Source organism: Homo sapiens, chromosome 4, assembly GCF_000001405.40.
Source record: "Homo sapiens chromosome 4, GRCh38.p14 Primary Assembly".
Taxonomy (NCBI): domain Eukaryota; kingdom Metazoa; phylum Chordata; class Mammalia; order Primates; family Hominidae; genus Homo; species Homo sapiens.
The window spans coordinates 180,057,870-180,071,545 of NC_000004.12; the positions used below are offsets into that span (position 1 = coordinate 180,057,870).

Genomic DNA, 13,676 nt, shown 5'->3' on the forward strand with positions numbered 1-13,676 from the left:
AGCCTGGAAGGGCTGGCGTTGGAGAAGCCGCTCGGAAGCGGGGCAGGTAGCAGAGAGCCGCCCGCCGGTCTCCGGGTCTACGCCCAGGGCTCTTTCCAGCCCGGCCTTTGGGTAACTGGTGTGGGGGAGGGCGGCCGGCTTTCAGGTCGCCTCTCCCGCAGGTTTGGGAGCCCGGTAGGCCGTGACTGAAAGACCGTAGCAACAGCGGTCAATTGCCGTTTTAGAGCTCATTTTGGGGCGAATGGTAGCAGCAGAGCCACTGCCGCCCTGGCTCTTGTAGGTGGGTCTGGAGTGTCACGTAGGCACCCCAACTCGCGCCGGGGGCCGTGGTCCGCAGACTCCCACTTCATTGCCCCGGAGGCCTGAGCCCGCCCCGCCCGGCTGTGGCTGCACCTTTCCCGAGAGTCGGGGCAGCGGCGGCTCGAAAGTGGAGGCAGCCTAACCGCGTAGCGCTGAAACCACCATTCACAAATGCAAACCCCTGTCTTCTGTGGATAAACGGTGGCGGCGCGCGTCCGAGCGTCCCCGAGGGGCTGTGGGGAGCCCCCGGGGAGAGCAGGAAAGGAAGCGGGGTGGCGGTGGCTAGGAAGCGACTGAGCCTTCTCGCCCGGCCGGCGGAAGAGGGAGCCGGGTCCCGGCGCGCCGAGCCAGCCGCCCCTCGCGCAGTTCCTCGGCCGCGGCGCGGGGTTCGCCCCGCTTCTCCCCGGCAGCAGCCGGCTGGGTGCCCCCGGCACAGCACAGTGCGGCAGGCGGCAGCGTCCTCCCCTCGCCTCCCCCACATTCCCTCACCTCAGCCAAGGCGGCAGCCCCGGCGTCCCCGCCCGCCCGGCCCCGCGCCCCCGCCCGGAGCGCCCCCACCCGTTGCGCCCCCGCCGGGTCCCGCCGCGCAGCCCCGCCACGCTGCAGCTGGAGCGACCGCCGCGGCCGGCCCCGCAGACCGGGGAGGAGGAGGAGGAGGGGAAGCCGGAGAGGGAGGCGCGGGGAGGAGGGATGGAGCCGGGAGGAGGAAATAAATAAATAAAACAATCACCTCCGCGCCAATAAGAGCGAGGGAGAGAGCAAGACGCGACCAGAGAGCCACCGGGGCCCGCTCGCGCGCCTCTGAGAGGCTGTCCGCGCGCGCGCGTGTGTGCGTGAGTGTGGATTTGCCGGGACTGGAGCTGGAAAGTTCAAACTAAACGTGTTGCTCTCGCCGAGTGCCGAGGCCGCGGCGGAGGCTGCCCAACTTCCCCGGGCCAAGTGAGTGGCGTTGCCCAGCGCCTTTGGCGAGGCGGCGGCCGCTCGGCCCTGCGCCCGGCCGCGGCGGCGGCGGCTCCGCTCGCCCCGGGAGGGAGCCCGCGGCCAGGGCTGGACTCTCGCCCCGCCACCTCCACCGACTCTCTCCTCAGCCTCCGCGCCTGGCACCGCAGCAAGGTACGTGGCGCTTCCTGGCGCGGCTTCTTCCCTAGCACACCCCGCGCGGATTTTTGGCTGCCTAGATTCTTCCCCTTCCCGGAGTGGTCATCATTTGTCAAACTTTACCTCCACCTCGCACATGCGGGCGGCCGCTGCAGCCGCCCTCCCTGGCGGCATGGGCTCCGCTCGCTGATGGGAACCGAGAGGAGGGTGGGGGGGAGGATCTGCTGGCAGCGGTGGTTCTCATCTGGATTAAGATCGTATTTCGGAATAACTCGCAGGTCTTACCTTCCGGGGGTGTCCTTCATTATGATGTTCCCTGTGATGCTGGTAATGGTTTTCCTTGCTCCTTCTGCACGGAAGGACGTACAAGTTTGCAGGAGAAGGTACATGAAAAGCAGGTGAAGTTTGCAGCCACTTGACTCCAAGAGAGGAGTAACCCTTTCTTTGCAGTAGCCGCTATGGTTTTGAAGCAGCGGCGGCGGCGGCAGCGGTGACAGCGGTGACAGCAGCCTGGCCGGTGGCGGCAGCTGCACGTTGTCCCGTCTGTGACTGGAAGAAGGAGGAAAAGTGGGGCTGCCTCGTCGGAGAGCGCAACTCTGGAGCTGCCTGCAAAGACGCTGCGGGGGAAAATGCTAAGGGCTCCCTGATCCTTGGTAAATCGTGTTTGGAGAGGCATGATTTCCTTTTGTGGTATTTATGTGCTTAATAACAGACATGCTTAAAAATCTCTTTAAAACTTTTATGCATACGATTTCCATTTCTAGATTAGGTGAAGGACTCTGAAACCTCTCAGATAAATGCCAAAATCAGTAAGATCAGAGCGGTGTGCAAACCTGCAATGAATTGCCCAGTGCCTTCTTGTTTGTAACGTATCACCTACTGGGAAACGTATCTTCCGTGCCATACTATTTTAGTAATAGTTATAGGTTCATTATTATTATTTTTTTCTTACGATGAAATAGGAGGTTTTTAGTGAAACAAAAATTTAGAAGTCATAGTAAGTTTCCAAGCAACGTGCTTGAGCCTTTTGAAGCCACCTGCTGAATTAGTTCATGTTACTTTTCAGAGGTTACCACTTTGGTGCAGGAGATGTAGACATATCCAGCAGATGGAGCAGTGGAAAACTATACTGGAACCTGCATAACACTCATTTATCCCGATGTAATCACAAAGAGGCCAAATAAATGTGTATGGAGCTCACTTTAGGGGAGACACTGGTTTTACTGTCATATTTGGAAAAAATTTTGTGTCTACTGAAATATGATTGGAATATATCTGCAGAAACTTCAATTCTTTAGGCTTCTTTTTCATTCATAAAGCATTTGAAAATAGTTTTTGTGCATATTAGAGTACAGGATGATTCATTCATGTCAGAAATGTCAACTGGTCCTTTGGTTATATATTGCAGTGACTCACAACGACATGAAAAACAATGCATTCTGCCATAATAAAAGTCTAATTATTGTGTTATAGTTTAAAAGAGTATAAAAACTTGCATTTGAACGTAAGCAAACATCATTTTGAATACTTTTTAGTATTCTAAATGCAACTGAATTTGTGTTTTGCAAAGTTAAGATAGCTAAATACACTTATTTCTTCAAATAATTTACTGCAGCTTAAATTGAAGGAAAAAGTTAATAAAACTTTTTAGTCATTCTTGTGAATTGATGTTCCTTTTTCCTCAAAATTTCATGAAATTTAGATCTGGTGTGATCTGGTCACATTCATTTTACCTTCAGAGACAAAGACAAAATTCTTCAAAAGCCACTTTAAAAAATCCTTACATTGATATATTATGGTAACAATAACATGAGGAGAGAATCTGCCTTCCTACAAAAATTTTAAAACTTTGCAATCAGTCATGCATCTGAAAAAATAGCTTTAAAGTGAACAGAGACAAATGGGCTGCCCATTTCACAGGCAGAACGGCAAAGACTTAGGCACCTGCTTTGTTGCACCGTTTCAGGAAAGAACTGGTTCTTCAATCTAGTCTGCTCATCTCCCATCTCTTGCTCCTTTCATTGTGTTTTGTCATAGATTTTACCGTGGCAGAGAACTGAGCTTAACTACTCTGAAAAAAATCCTATTAGGTCTTACTTTAATGTCATCATTTAGCAATTTAAAAGTTACAGCCATACAGCAAACATATTAAGGAATTTAGAGACAGACACGATGCCATTGAAAAATGTAGCACTAGCAATCATTTGAATTAAACATGCTTTACACTGAGGGCACATGTTTATAAAATATATGTGACTGTTTTCTAAATCTTCAGATAACGTCTGTAGCAAAGTACTTACTTTTGCATTCTGAAACTATGTTTCTTTCACATTCGCATAATATCCAAGAAGGCTTAGAACTCCCAGTGTTATAAAATAGTATAACTACCTTTCTGAAGGAACTAATTTTATCCCGCCTGTTGCCACACAGATTAAATGATTATAGATTTTTCTAAATTTATTCCATTCTAAATTTATGCCCCTTTACACAGGCAAGAACAAAAGGGTTTCAGTGTAAGATGCTGAAAGTTTTATGCCATATTTAAATGTTTGAAAATATGAATACCAGACATTTACTAATTTATCATCTCTATTAAATGTGTTAAATTCCTCCAATATAACTCTTATTGATAGTTTAAAAATCAGCTGGTCAAAGCAATGTTAATGTAGTAAAATTAGGTTAAACGTAGGTATATTATGGTCATTGCTCATGTGATATATGTCTTCAGAGAAAACCGGGTGCCTTGTAAGTTTTTCTGTAAACTCAATATAAATGAAATGCTGATAAGATTGACATAATTTTGATATAACTTTGACATATGTATTTCTACATATTTTGAGACTTTAAAAATATAATCACTAAATACTCTTCGTATAGTACTGAGCGTTTTCAGTTAAGTTTATTGGACTGATAGAATCCTGTAATATGCTACTGAAGTTGAGTTCAAGTTTATGGAGGGAAATATTGGATACATACATACATACATACATACATACATACATACATACATATATACATACACACATGGGTCATCAGTTTTCACTGGGAATCTTGGTAATGGGAGTGGCAATGTGCCTATTGAAGAATTTTGGAAAATAGTCTAATCATCAACTTTAAATTCTCATTTTAAAAACTTGATCAAAAATAGATATCTGTTAAGTAGAGGACCTGTGTTTAACCTAAGCCTCGTGGTAATAGTTGAAGCTTGGCATTCACCAAGTGTTTGCACTTGTTATTACAGTAATTTTAATGCACTTTCTGCATTATTTGTATTTTCATTCCATCTCCTTAGGACATTGTTCTAATAGAGCTATAATATAGCTCTATTAGGTAGTTTTCTTCCAGCACCATAAAATGTAGCCACTGGGTTTAGACTTAAATATAAAACCGCAATTACATTTGCACCAACCTAATATTTCAACTGAATTAAGTTTTTGAAACTCATATAGAGGGATTGAGAGATTATGAAGAAGCAGAGATTTTGGTTTTTTCTCCATTAAGTTATCTTCTGGGAGTTAACATGGGTTTATCAGTCAGTGAAGATCAAGCAAAAGATGAAACCTTTTATCCTTTAGTTTCTGTCTTGTCACCTGCCTGTTTGGTTTCTCTTAGTGTCAAGTATGACTGAACATGACTTTCACTTATAATTTATAGAAAAGGCATATATATTTGAAACTTGGGTGTTTTATTGGGAGGCACTATTAGTTTTTAATAAGAAGAAAAAGTTTCTAGCGCTATATATAAGGAAAAAATCATAATATAAAAAATTATTCTAGATGAGTACAGCAGTGAAAAATGTATCTTCCGATATAAATTTTAGCAGAAATGATGAGGATGTAAGATTTATCCCAAATAATATTTCCAACTTTGAGTATTACTGTAATTTAATTTTTATATGTTAATGCCGTATTGGGTACAAACACCTTTACCTTTAACTCTCTTTAATTACCACTTCTTTGTATAAAAGTCAACGAAGAATATAGCTTAATTATATATGTATAATATGATTGTTTTATGGCATATGTTATATGATATATATCTCATAAAACATATTTTTAACATGAGTACAGTTTTGCTCATACAATATTCAGGGATAGATTTTATTTCACTGATTATCCCAAATTTTTTTTGAAGCCCCAGAGTCCTCAGGTAATTTTCTATATGTTACTGTATAGGACAGTTCTGCCATATAGCTTTAGAGATATTTAGTCATAGAAATATAATTGGGTAAGCTGCCCTACTATTCACGTAATTACCATGAAACTTGTGATAACCTCTAAATACAATATGTTATATAAACTGTTTATATTGTTACCAAGGGATTAAAACCATGGGACAAGATGAACATAGTCATTCTTTATAGTGGTCAAAAACTATCTTTCATGTTTTAAAGGACTTATATTTAGAACTTATTATGGAAAAAGGTGGATGGATCAAAAGTGGGTATCAAGTGCGTGAAAAATTATTTACCAGAAGCACACTTACTAAGTATTATAATAAGCATACCTTTCTAATTATTATTTTCCAAAGGTAGGAGATTGGAGAGGCATAATTAAAGGTACCTGATATTATTAGAATAAGACAGTTGTCTAACTAGCATTTTCATTCTGATAGGAATATGTTTCATGATTTTGATTATTTCACAGCACCCTTAACAAATAGAATTATACTGTGTTTTCCAATATGAATATCTCAAAGGTTTTGAAATGTATGATTGATTATGATCATCAGAACTCTGTGACTAAACTGAAGGCAGCTAACACATAGAATACTGCTGGCAAATTGAGAGGCTGAATACTGGTGTTGCAAAAAGTTTAAGTTGATGTTACTTCCTATATACCCCCAAATCAGTATTATTACTACTTTGCTAGTACTTTTATTATGAATATAAATTATATTAGATTCTTATTCAACCTTCCATGCTTAAATTACAGTATGTTCAAGAACTTGCTTTAGTAATAAATATTGATAATTATTGTACGACAGAGATCTTTACTGGTAACATTAGATTTAGAACATTATTATGCGAAACAGACAATAAAACAATCTCTGCTCTGGGTCTATAGAATTTACTAAATTAGTGCCATGGGCATGTGAGAACAGAAAGTGTCCATATGTCAGCTTCAACTATATGACAGAGGGAGAAAAGTGAGGAGACACCTTTCCATGAATGTCTTCCCTCCAGTTTATACCACCAGTTTTCTAAATAAACTTTATTTTAACATTTTTTAAACCTGGTCACTTTTAATGAGAACTAATCACAGTCACAAATATCAGTGTATTAATGGATTACATCAATACTTAATATTTTTTCATCTTATAGCTCAATCCATCATTCATTAAGCGGAAAGATTTATTCACATTACCTTTTTAAAAATAATTCAGCAATTATATAGTAGACTGATTTTTAATAGTTGTCTATTAAAAATAAAATAAAGCATAAAATAAAAATAATAAAAACTAAGAATAAGTTGTTGATGTAGTTTTTAGGATTTAATTTTGTTATTTAGAAGAAGATAAATATTTATAGGTTTAAGTTTTGGTTGTATATAAAATTAACAGCAGCAAGAATAAATAATCCCATATTTCAGCCAAAATGGCAACTAGAAATGATAAATTGGCTTTCTTGTGTATATGTGTGTGTGTGTGTCTTTTAATTTTCTATGTCAATTAATATGTACTATCAGTAGAATAGAATATTCTGAGAAGATAATGGTATCTTGTTGAACATAGATTTAAAGGTTAAGCAGTTATTATTGAAAAATAAACATACCAATTTACTTTCCATCTCTAAGCCTTTTTCTTAAAGTATATTTACCTAAATTTAAACAGCATCTATAATATTGATAAAAATTTTTAAAACATAAATGTCAAATTAAGTGCTCAATAAATATTAGGATCTGTCTATCTTTGATCTCTTCTTATTATCAAATAAAAATCAGTACACTGATATCTTTCTTTTAATAACAAATAGATGCAAGATAGTCTAAGGTTAACAACCAGAAAATATTTGTTTTGTGATGGGATGTTCATAATTTCTTTTTCTCATTGCCTTACAGATTTATTTATTTTAATTTCATGTAGGATATAACAATTCCTTCTGCAAAATAAATGTTTTTTTTGATAAAATTAAATACACTAAAGTGCCTTCAATTCTTAAGTATGTTGCCTAAAGATTTGAGTTTCAAAAGTATTAAATTTATATTTTGCATGTGTCATTATTTATATTGTAGGATTTTTCCCAAATACAGGTCCTCTTGTGTTATCATTGTGAAGTTTTTTATTCATACTTTTCACATTAATACTTTTCCATACAACTTAATTATTTTGCTTTTTATATTCAGAGCAGAGTTGACAATATTGCAGTTATTGCCAACTTTATTTTATTTTGATTTAAAATATGTTAAACTCATATAAAGTATTAACACTCATAATATGTATTTTTCTAAAATTATTTGTGTGAGTCAAATTTGTTAGTGATTTCTTCAAAATTTTATTTGTAACTATGGGATCAAAACCAAAAAGGTTAATTTTCATGTAATTAAAGGTCAGTGATTTTTTTATTGCTTGCTTACAATTTGTTTACTTCTTTAAGAAATCTAATAACATTTTCAACAAAACGGTGTTTCTTATTACTTGTGAACCTTATGCTTTTTAAAATTTTGCTTTTAAAACAGTTCACAGTGATTAATTTGAACAAAGAAAGCAAAAATTTAATGGTTATTGTACACATATTAAATTAAATTTCAAGAAATGAAAACTTTGTGATAATACAAATTATAAAACAGATAGAAATCTCAGTATTTGTTTTCAGAAATTTTGAGGGAAAACTAACCTTGAAATAGTAAAGTATAAGAAATAATGTTAACAATAGTCTTAAATGTTCAGGTCCCTGTTACTGATTTTGGCAAGGTTTATGTCCAAATTGTTATGCTAGTAATATTTACATAGAATGATTTATAAATTTATTTTTTAAGAAAGTCTTATTTCAGCCACCATTGTTTTATACAATGTTGGTAGTTCCAGTTTAGTCTATTTTAAAAAGTAAACCTTATAGCACTTAAAAATTTTGTTGTTGATATATTTAAATAAAAGAGTGCATGTACCAACAGTACAAATGAAACAAATTATCATAATGATACTGCTTTTGAGATAACCAAAACAGAGAGAAATTTGAAGTTACAAGTACCTTTGAAACAGAATTCACACTCGAATCTGCTTTAGCATGAATTGCACATGAATAAAATTATCTGCTTAATGTTCTCTTTAATTTTTAACTATCAGATAATGTGATTTGGGAAAAATCTCGATTAAAAATATTATTGTATGGTAAGATTCTTTGCATTTTCCCGTTTCTGGAGCTTGGTCATTTTATTTTAGTGAGTTATTATTTGGAATCAGTGTGTGATTAGAATAAAATTGAAAAGGATTTGCAACACTTCCTATTTGCATGGATCAGCTTTTCATAACCCCAAAGAAATTATAGAAAATTAATTTTTAAATTGTTTGAGAAGACCAACAACCATAACAATAAGGGACAGTGGTTTCGCTCATTATGTAATATCATTTATAGAATTACAACTGATGTATCAATTCAAAAATTATTTCTGATGTTCTAAATAAGTATATATTGGCAGATTTTTTTTGTAAAATGTTTTCCATTTTGTAAGGCAGAAGAGTTTAAAATGTGAATAATATGCAAAACGTTTTAGTAAATAATGTTTTTATATACAATTAAGAAAAAAATACGCCTCTAGGCAAAAGAATAAGCAAGTCACCTCAGAAATCTCTTCAAATTTCAAAAACCGGTCAAGAAATAATGGATCAGAAGACCCCTCTTACGTAATATGAGACCAAATCTATAGATTTGTGAGAAAAAGAATCTCTATCAAAAAGGATAGAATATATTCCCAAGGCAGCAGCTCCAATCATACTGACAGTCTTAACAATGTCTATGAGATAAATGTTTCTAATTGTGTGTGGAAAACATGCAAACTTAACCAGAATCTGAAGGGCAGTGTTTGGTAATACTCACATGGGTACCCTCCGGGAAAGAAAGTAGTTGCTAGCTTTCTGAATACTTGATGCTGCAGACCTGCATGGTCTGATGGCATTAGGAGTATATCATATAAGTAGAATAATGTATTCTAATTCATGCTCACCAAGCCACCTTCAGACAATCTGTTTACTCTTGCCCATTTTCTTTAGTGAAGTAAGGTGTTCAGGGTGCTTCTGCAGGCAGCAGGCAAGAGCTCCAGGCTCCTATTTGATTTTGATTACAAATTAATAAATTGGCATAATAGGTTATACATTTCATTTCCTTGTGAATGTTAGTGGGAGTCATCATCCTCAAATCTAATTAGATCTGCAACATTGACACATACTGTAAACCAAACCTGTAAGACCAAGGTCACCAAAATAGTGCCAAACCTGAGACCTGTTCATCAGCGACCTCTGAGAGAAGTCTTCATGTCACTAATAAGAACGTTTATTTTGAAGACGACAAAGACAAAACATGGAGTACAGGAATACTTACTCTTTTGGTTTAATACTCTTTTTATTAAAATAGCATGAAAATTAAAAAGAAAATTAGTTGAGGGAACAAAAAAGGAATAAAAATTTGGGATAAGTAACATGGTGAGAAGAAAGATGTTTCAAAAATATTTGTATTGTAATATTTATTAGGGCTTTTAATTATTTGCCCCCACAGAACCAATATTCAATATTAAAACTATAGTCTTTATAATAGTTATTAAATGAAATTTTAAAGATCAATTTAGAAGAGAAGTCACATTTTAACATTCATTATACATTCACTCTGTGTATCGTTTTACAGTTTGCTTTTCTGCTCTTCATGATTTTAAAATTTTTTCTTTGTTCGTACACTTAGAACTAGTTCATTCATTATAACCATTGTTCAGTATTCCATCATATGATTATGATGAAATCACAATTTCAGCATTTCTTTTCTGACTTCTGAAATAGTTCTTAAGTGTAATAATGCATTAAAATACAAACTACAAATGCAAAATACAATACAAAACACAATTCTATAAGATAAATGTGAGTGATATTGTGGTATATTATATACATATTTTATGTATGTCAATTATGCTATATTTATCATAACATTTTGCATAACATTTTTTAAAAATTAAAATTCTGAAGCCATTAAATCTTTCACTACAACATCATTTTCATAGTCACGTGTTATTTCATTCTATGGATCTAGCAGAAGTTAACAGTTTGTTATGGTTGGATATTTCAGTTGTTTAAGTTGTTCATATTAGAAAGAAAGCTAAATGAACAATTTTACTATTGTTTGTATCTTTGTTGACATCCCAAAATATTTATTTAGGAAAAATTTTAAAAAGTTAAATTACGTTAGTGTATGCTTGGATATTTTTTATTTTTAATATAATGGAGATAACAGCTTTCGTAAGCATTTTCTTGAATAATTGGACCCTCTATACAGTTGTGGTTCACTCTTGGGGAATCATTGCTTGAAAAAATTATTTCTGATATTCTAGTATTATAGATATAACACTGAATGCTGCCTAATCTGAGATTTGGCTTTCATTCAAAGCTGTGTGATCTCGGGTGGGTTATTGCATATCTCTTAGCTCCAATTTCCTGACTTACAACCGAAGGAATTTGTAATAATACTTAGAGAATATTACCAACACTGATGTTTTATCATTATAACTCTATTTCTGATTTTAGAAGAAAATAAAGTAGTGTATAGGAATAAAAACATGTTTGTAGATTTTCATGATTTATCAGCATTAACTCACTCGCTGCCAATTAATTGCAAAGTTGCAAGATTTTCTTAGATCAATTTTCTTGCAGATAGATGTAATAAAACACCAGTTATTTGGACTGATGTTCAAATTCTAACAAAGTTTTAGTTTTCTTCAGTTAAAGAATTTCATTCTCTCTGCATAATATTTTAAAATATAGGCAAATAGATAGTGTCACATATATCTGCAGTTATTTCTCTATTATTTTATTTCCACTGCAGAAATAATAGATATATGCATGTGTATGTACATCTGTGTATATTAATTCTTGCACAAACTTACACAAATTCAATTAATGTATACTATAGGCCAATATTTCAATACATACCTTAGGTATGTTTAAATATATTCAAATGTGTGTCCCTGTTTTCTCACTTAGTTTTAAAAATATTTCCAATCACTTTAGTTTCCAGGAAACAAACAAACAAAAGAAAATTTTCTTTTTGTTTGGTTGCTTTTGTTTTGTTTTGTTTTGTTTTTGAGACAAGTCTCTGTCACCCAGGCTGGAGTGCAGTGGCACGGTTTCAGCTCACTGCAACCTCCGTTTCCTGGGTTCAAGCTATTCTTCTGCCTCAGCCTCCTGAGTAGCTGGGATTACAGGTGTTTACCACCATACCCAGCTAATTTTTGTAATTGTAGTAGAGACAGAGTTTCACCATGTTGGCCAGGCTGGTCTCAAACTCCTGACCTCAGGTGATCCACCTGCCTTGGCCTCCCAAAACTGCTGGGATTACAGGCGTGAGCCACCGTGCCTGGCCAGTTTGGTTGTTTCTCTAAATAAAGTTTACAGGTACTTAACACGTCCCTATTGAATTAACTTATGAATTAGATTTGTCCTTGTTTGTGTTTTAAATCCAGTTATTTTGCCCCTACCTGAATCTGGTTATCCCGGGGTAGATTATCAAAGATAACCTTTCCTCTTTCAGTGCCACTCTCTCTCCAGGTCTGTAAAAAATGCTCTTTCTAGAAGTTTTTGCTTTTAAAATAATTTTTTTAATTGTAGGCTTAAATTAGTAGAATAAAAACCTTCAATTTAGACTAGAAAATTAGCTGCAAACCTTCAGCAGCAAATTTCCTATCAATCAAGGTGTGATAATTCTGATCGTCTGTATTCTCTTGTCAGCAAACAGTGAAAAGCCTTTAATGTATATGATAGAAGTCTCAGGTAGGAATGGATCGGTATGCTATAGAGAGGCTTAGGCACATATGTCATTTGATGTTAAACTTTAGTCCTTTTTTCTGTTCTTCTTTCCCTCTTTTTCTTTTTTTTCCAGTATTTTTCCCCCCTGAAAACATGACCTTTCTCAACTGGAGAAACCTAGAGACTGGGGGCTAGCATAAATTTTAATTAGGCTAAAGTGATTTTAAGTGGTTCCCTTTGCATCTACTACCTGTTATTGATGACCACATCTCAAGAAAAATAAACAAAAAAAGATAACAGGTTAGTTTGTAAATTAAATGGTCAAGGCCTGTCAGGCCTTCTGGTCATTTTCCTCTCTACGGGTGAAGATACTGTTTTCTTCCCAGCAAAGCTGAAGAAGCTTGCTCTTTCAAATTACAATTATATTTTTTAACCCCCCTGCTTCATTTTCTGGGACTGAATATGTTTTGATCCCTTATCCCAATCCCCACGAGGAAATGATGTGGTACTATTTATTACAGTTATTTGCAGATGAGTTTTGGGCAATATGTTCTTTTCTTTATTTAAGTCTTGAAGTCTTTTAATAAGGAGATGTCTTGTGTCTGGGTCAGGAGCTCCCTTGGCTCTGAAGCCAACACCTGGCTGGCCCATACCATCTGTACTCTACCAGAAGAAAGGTCAAGTCCTCCCTTTCTCTACCTTTGATCACCCTTACCATTAATTACTGAGGTTGCTCCTCTTATTTCCCCTGATTGAGATTTCACTTCCATCCTGGCCTTTCACTTACAGCATTCTGTCCTTAAGGTGATCAATCCACATTTTTATTTTTAGTGACCACCTAGGTGAATATGATCTGTGTAAATAACTCTATTTACCAGCACTAGACCTTAGGAGGAAAACAGCTACCTTTTATAGAATTAGGGAATTTGGGGCAATTTAAAACACAATGTTTGACTTTGTGAGAGTCTTTCTAAATAGTTTCTGTATGCAAGAACCATTAAAAGATTCAGGATATGGAAAATTGGTAAACTTTGGTTTTGCAGATGCCAGAGAAATATAAGGTAAGATCATCTAAAATAATTTGGTTTGGCCATATAAAATAATAAAATGTAAATTTTTATATTCTTTGTCTTTTTTCTTATCACCATGCATGGTAATAATTAATTTGCATATCAGTACCTATATGTTGTATTAAATGGAACCCTCCTTTGTCAGTTAGATGAAGCTATTTTTCTCCTGTAGCATTGATCAACAGTACACTTTCACACATCTTATGTCATTCAGTCTCCTTAGGCTTCTAGTGCCTCAGCGCCTGTTCAGAACTTTAAAAAAGGAAG

At 36.5% G+C, this 13,676-nt stretch overlaps 2 annotated features.

Moving 5' to 3' along the window:
• Nucleotides 582-711: a silencer, noted in NCBI's record as "silent region_15820". NCBI's record gives its function as "represses an Ori minimal core promoter by ATAC-STARR-seq in GM12878 lymphoblastoid cells {active_cell/tissue: GM12878}" and the evidence as "EXISTENCE:reporter gene assay evidence [ECO:0000049][PMID:35858748]".
• Nucleotides 1,172-1,251: an enhancer, noted in NCBI's record as "active region_22172". NCBI's record gives its function as "activates an Ori minimal core promoter by ATAC-STARR-seq in GM12878 lymphoblastoid cells {active_cell/tissue: GM12878}" and the evidence as "EXISTENCE:reporter gene assay evidence [ECO:0000049][PMID:35858748]".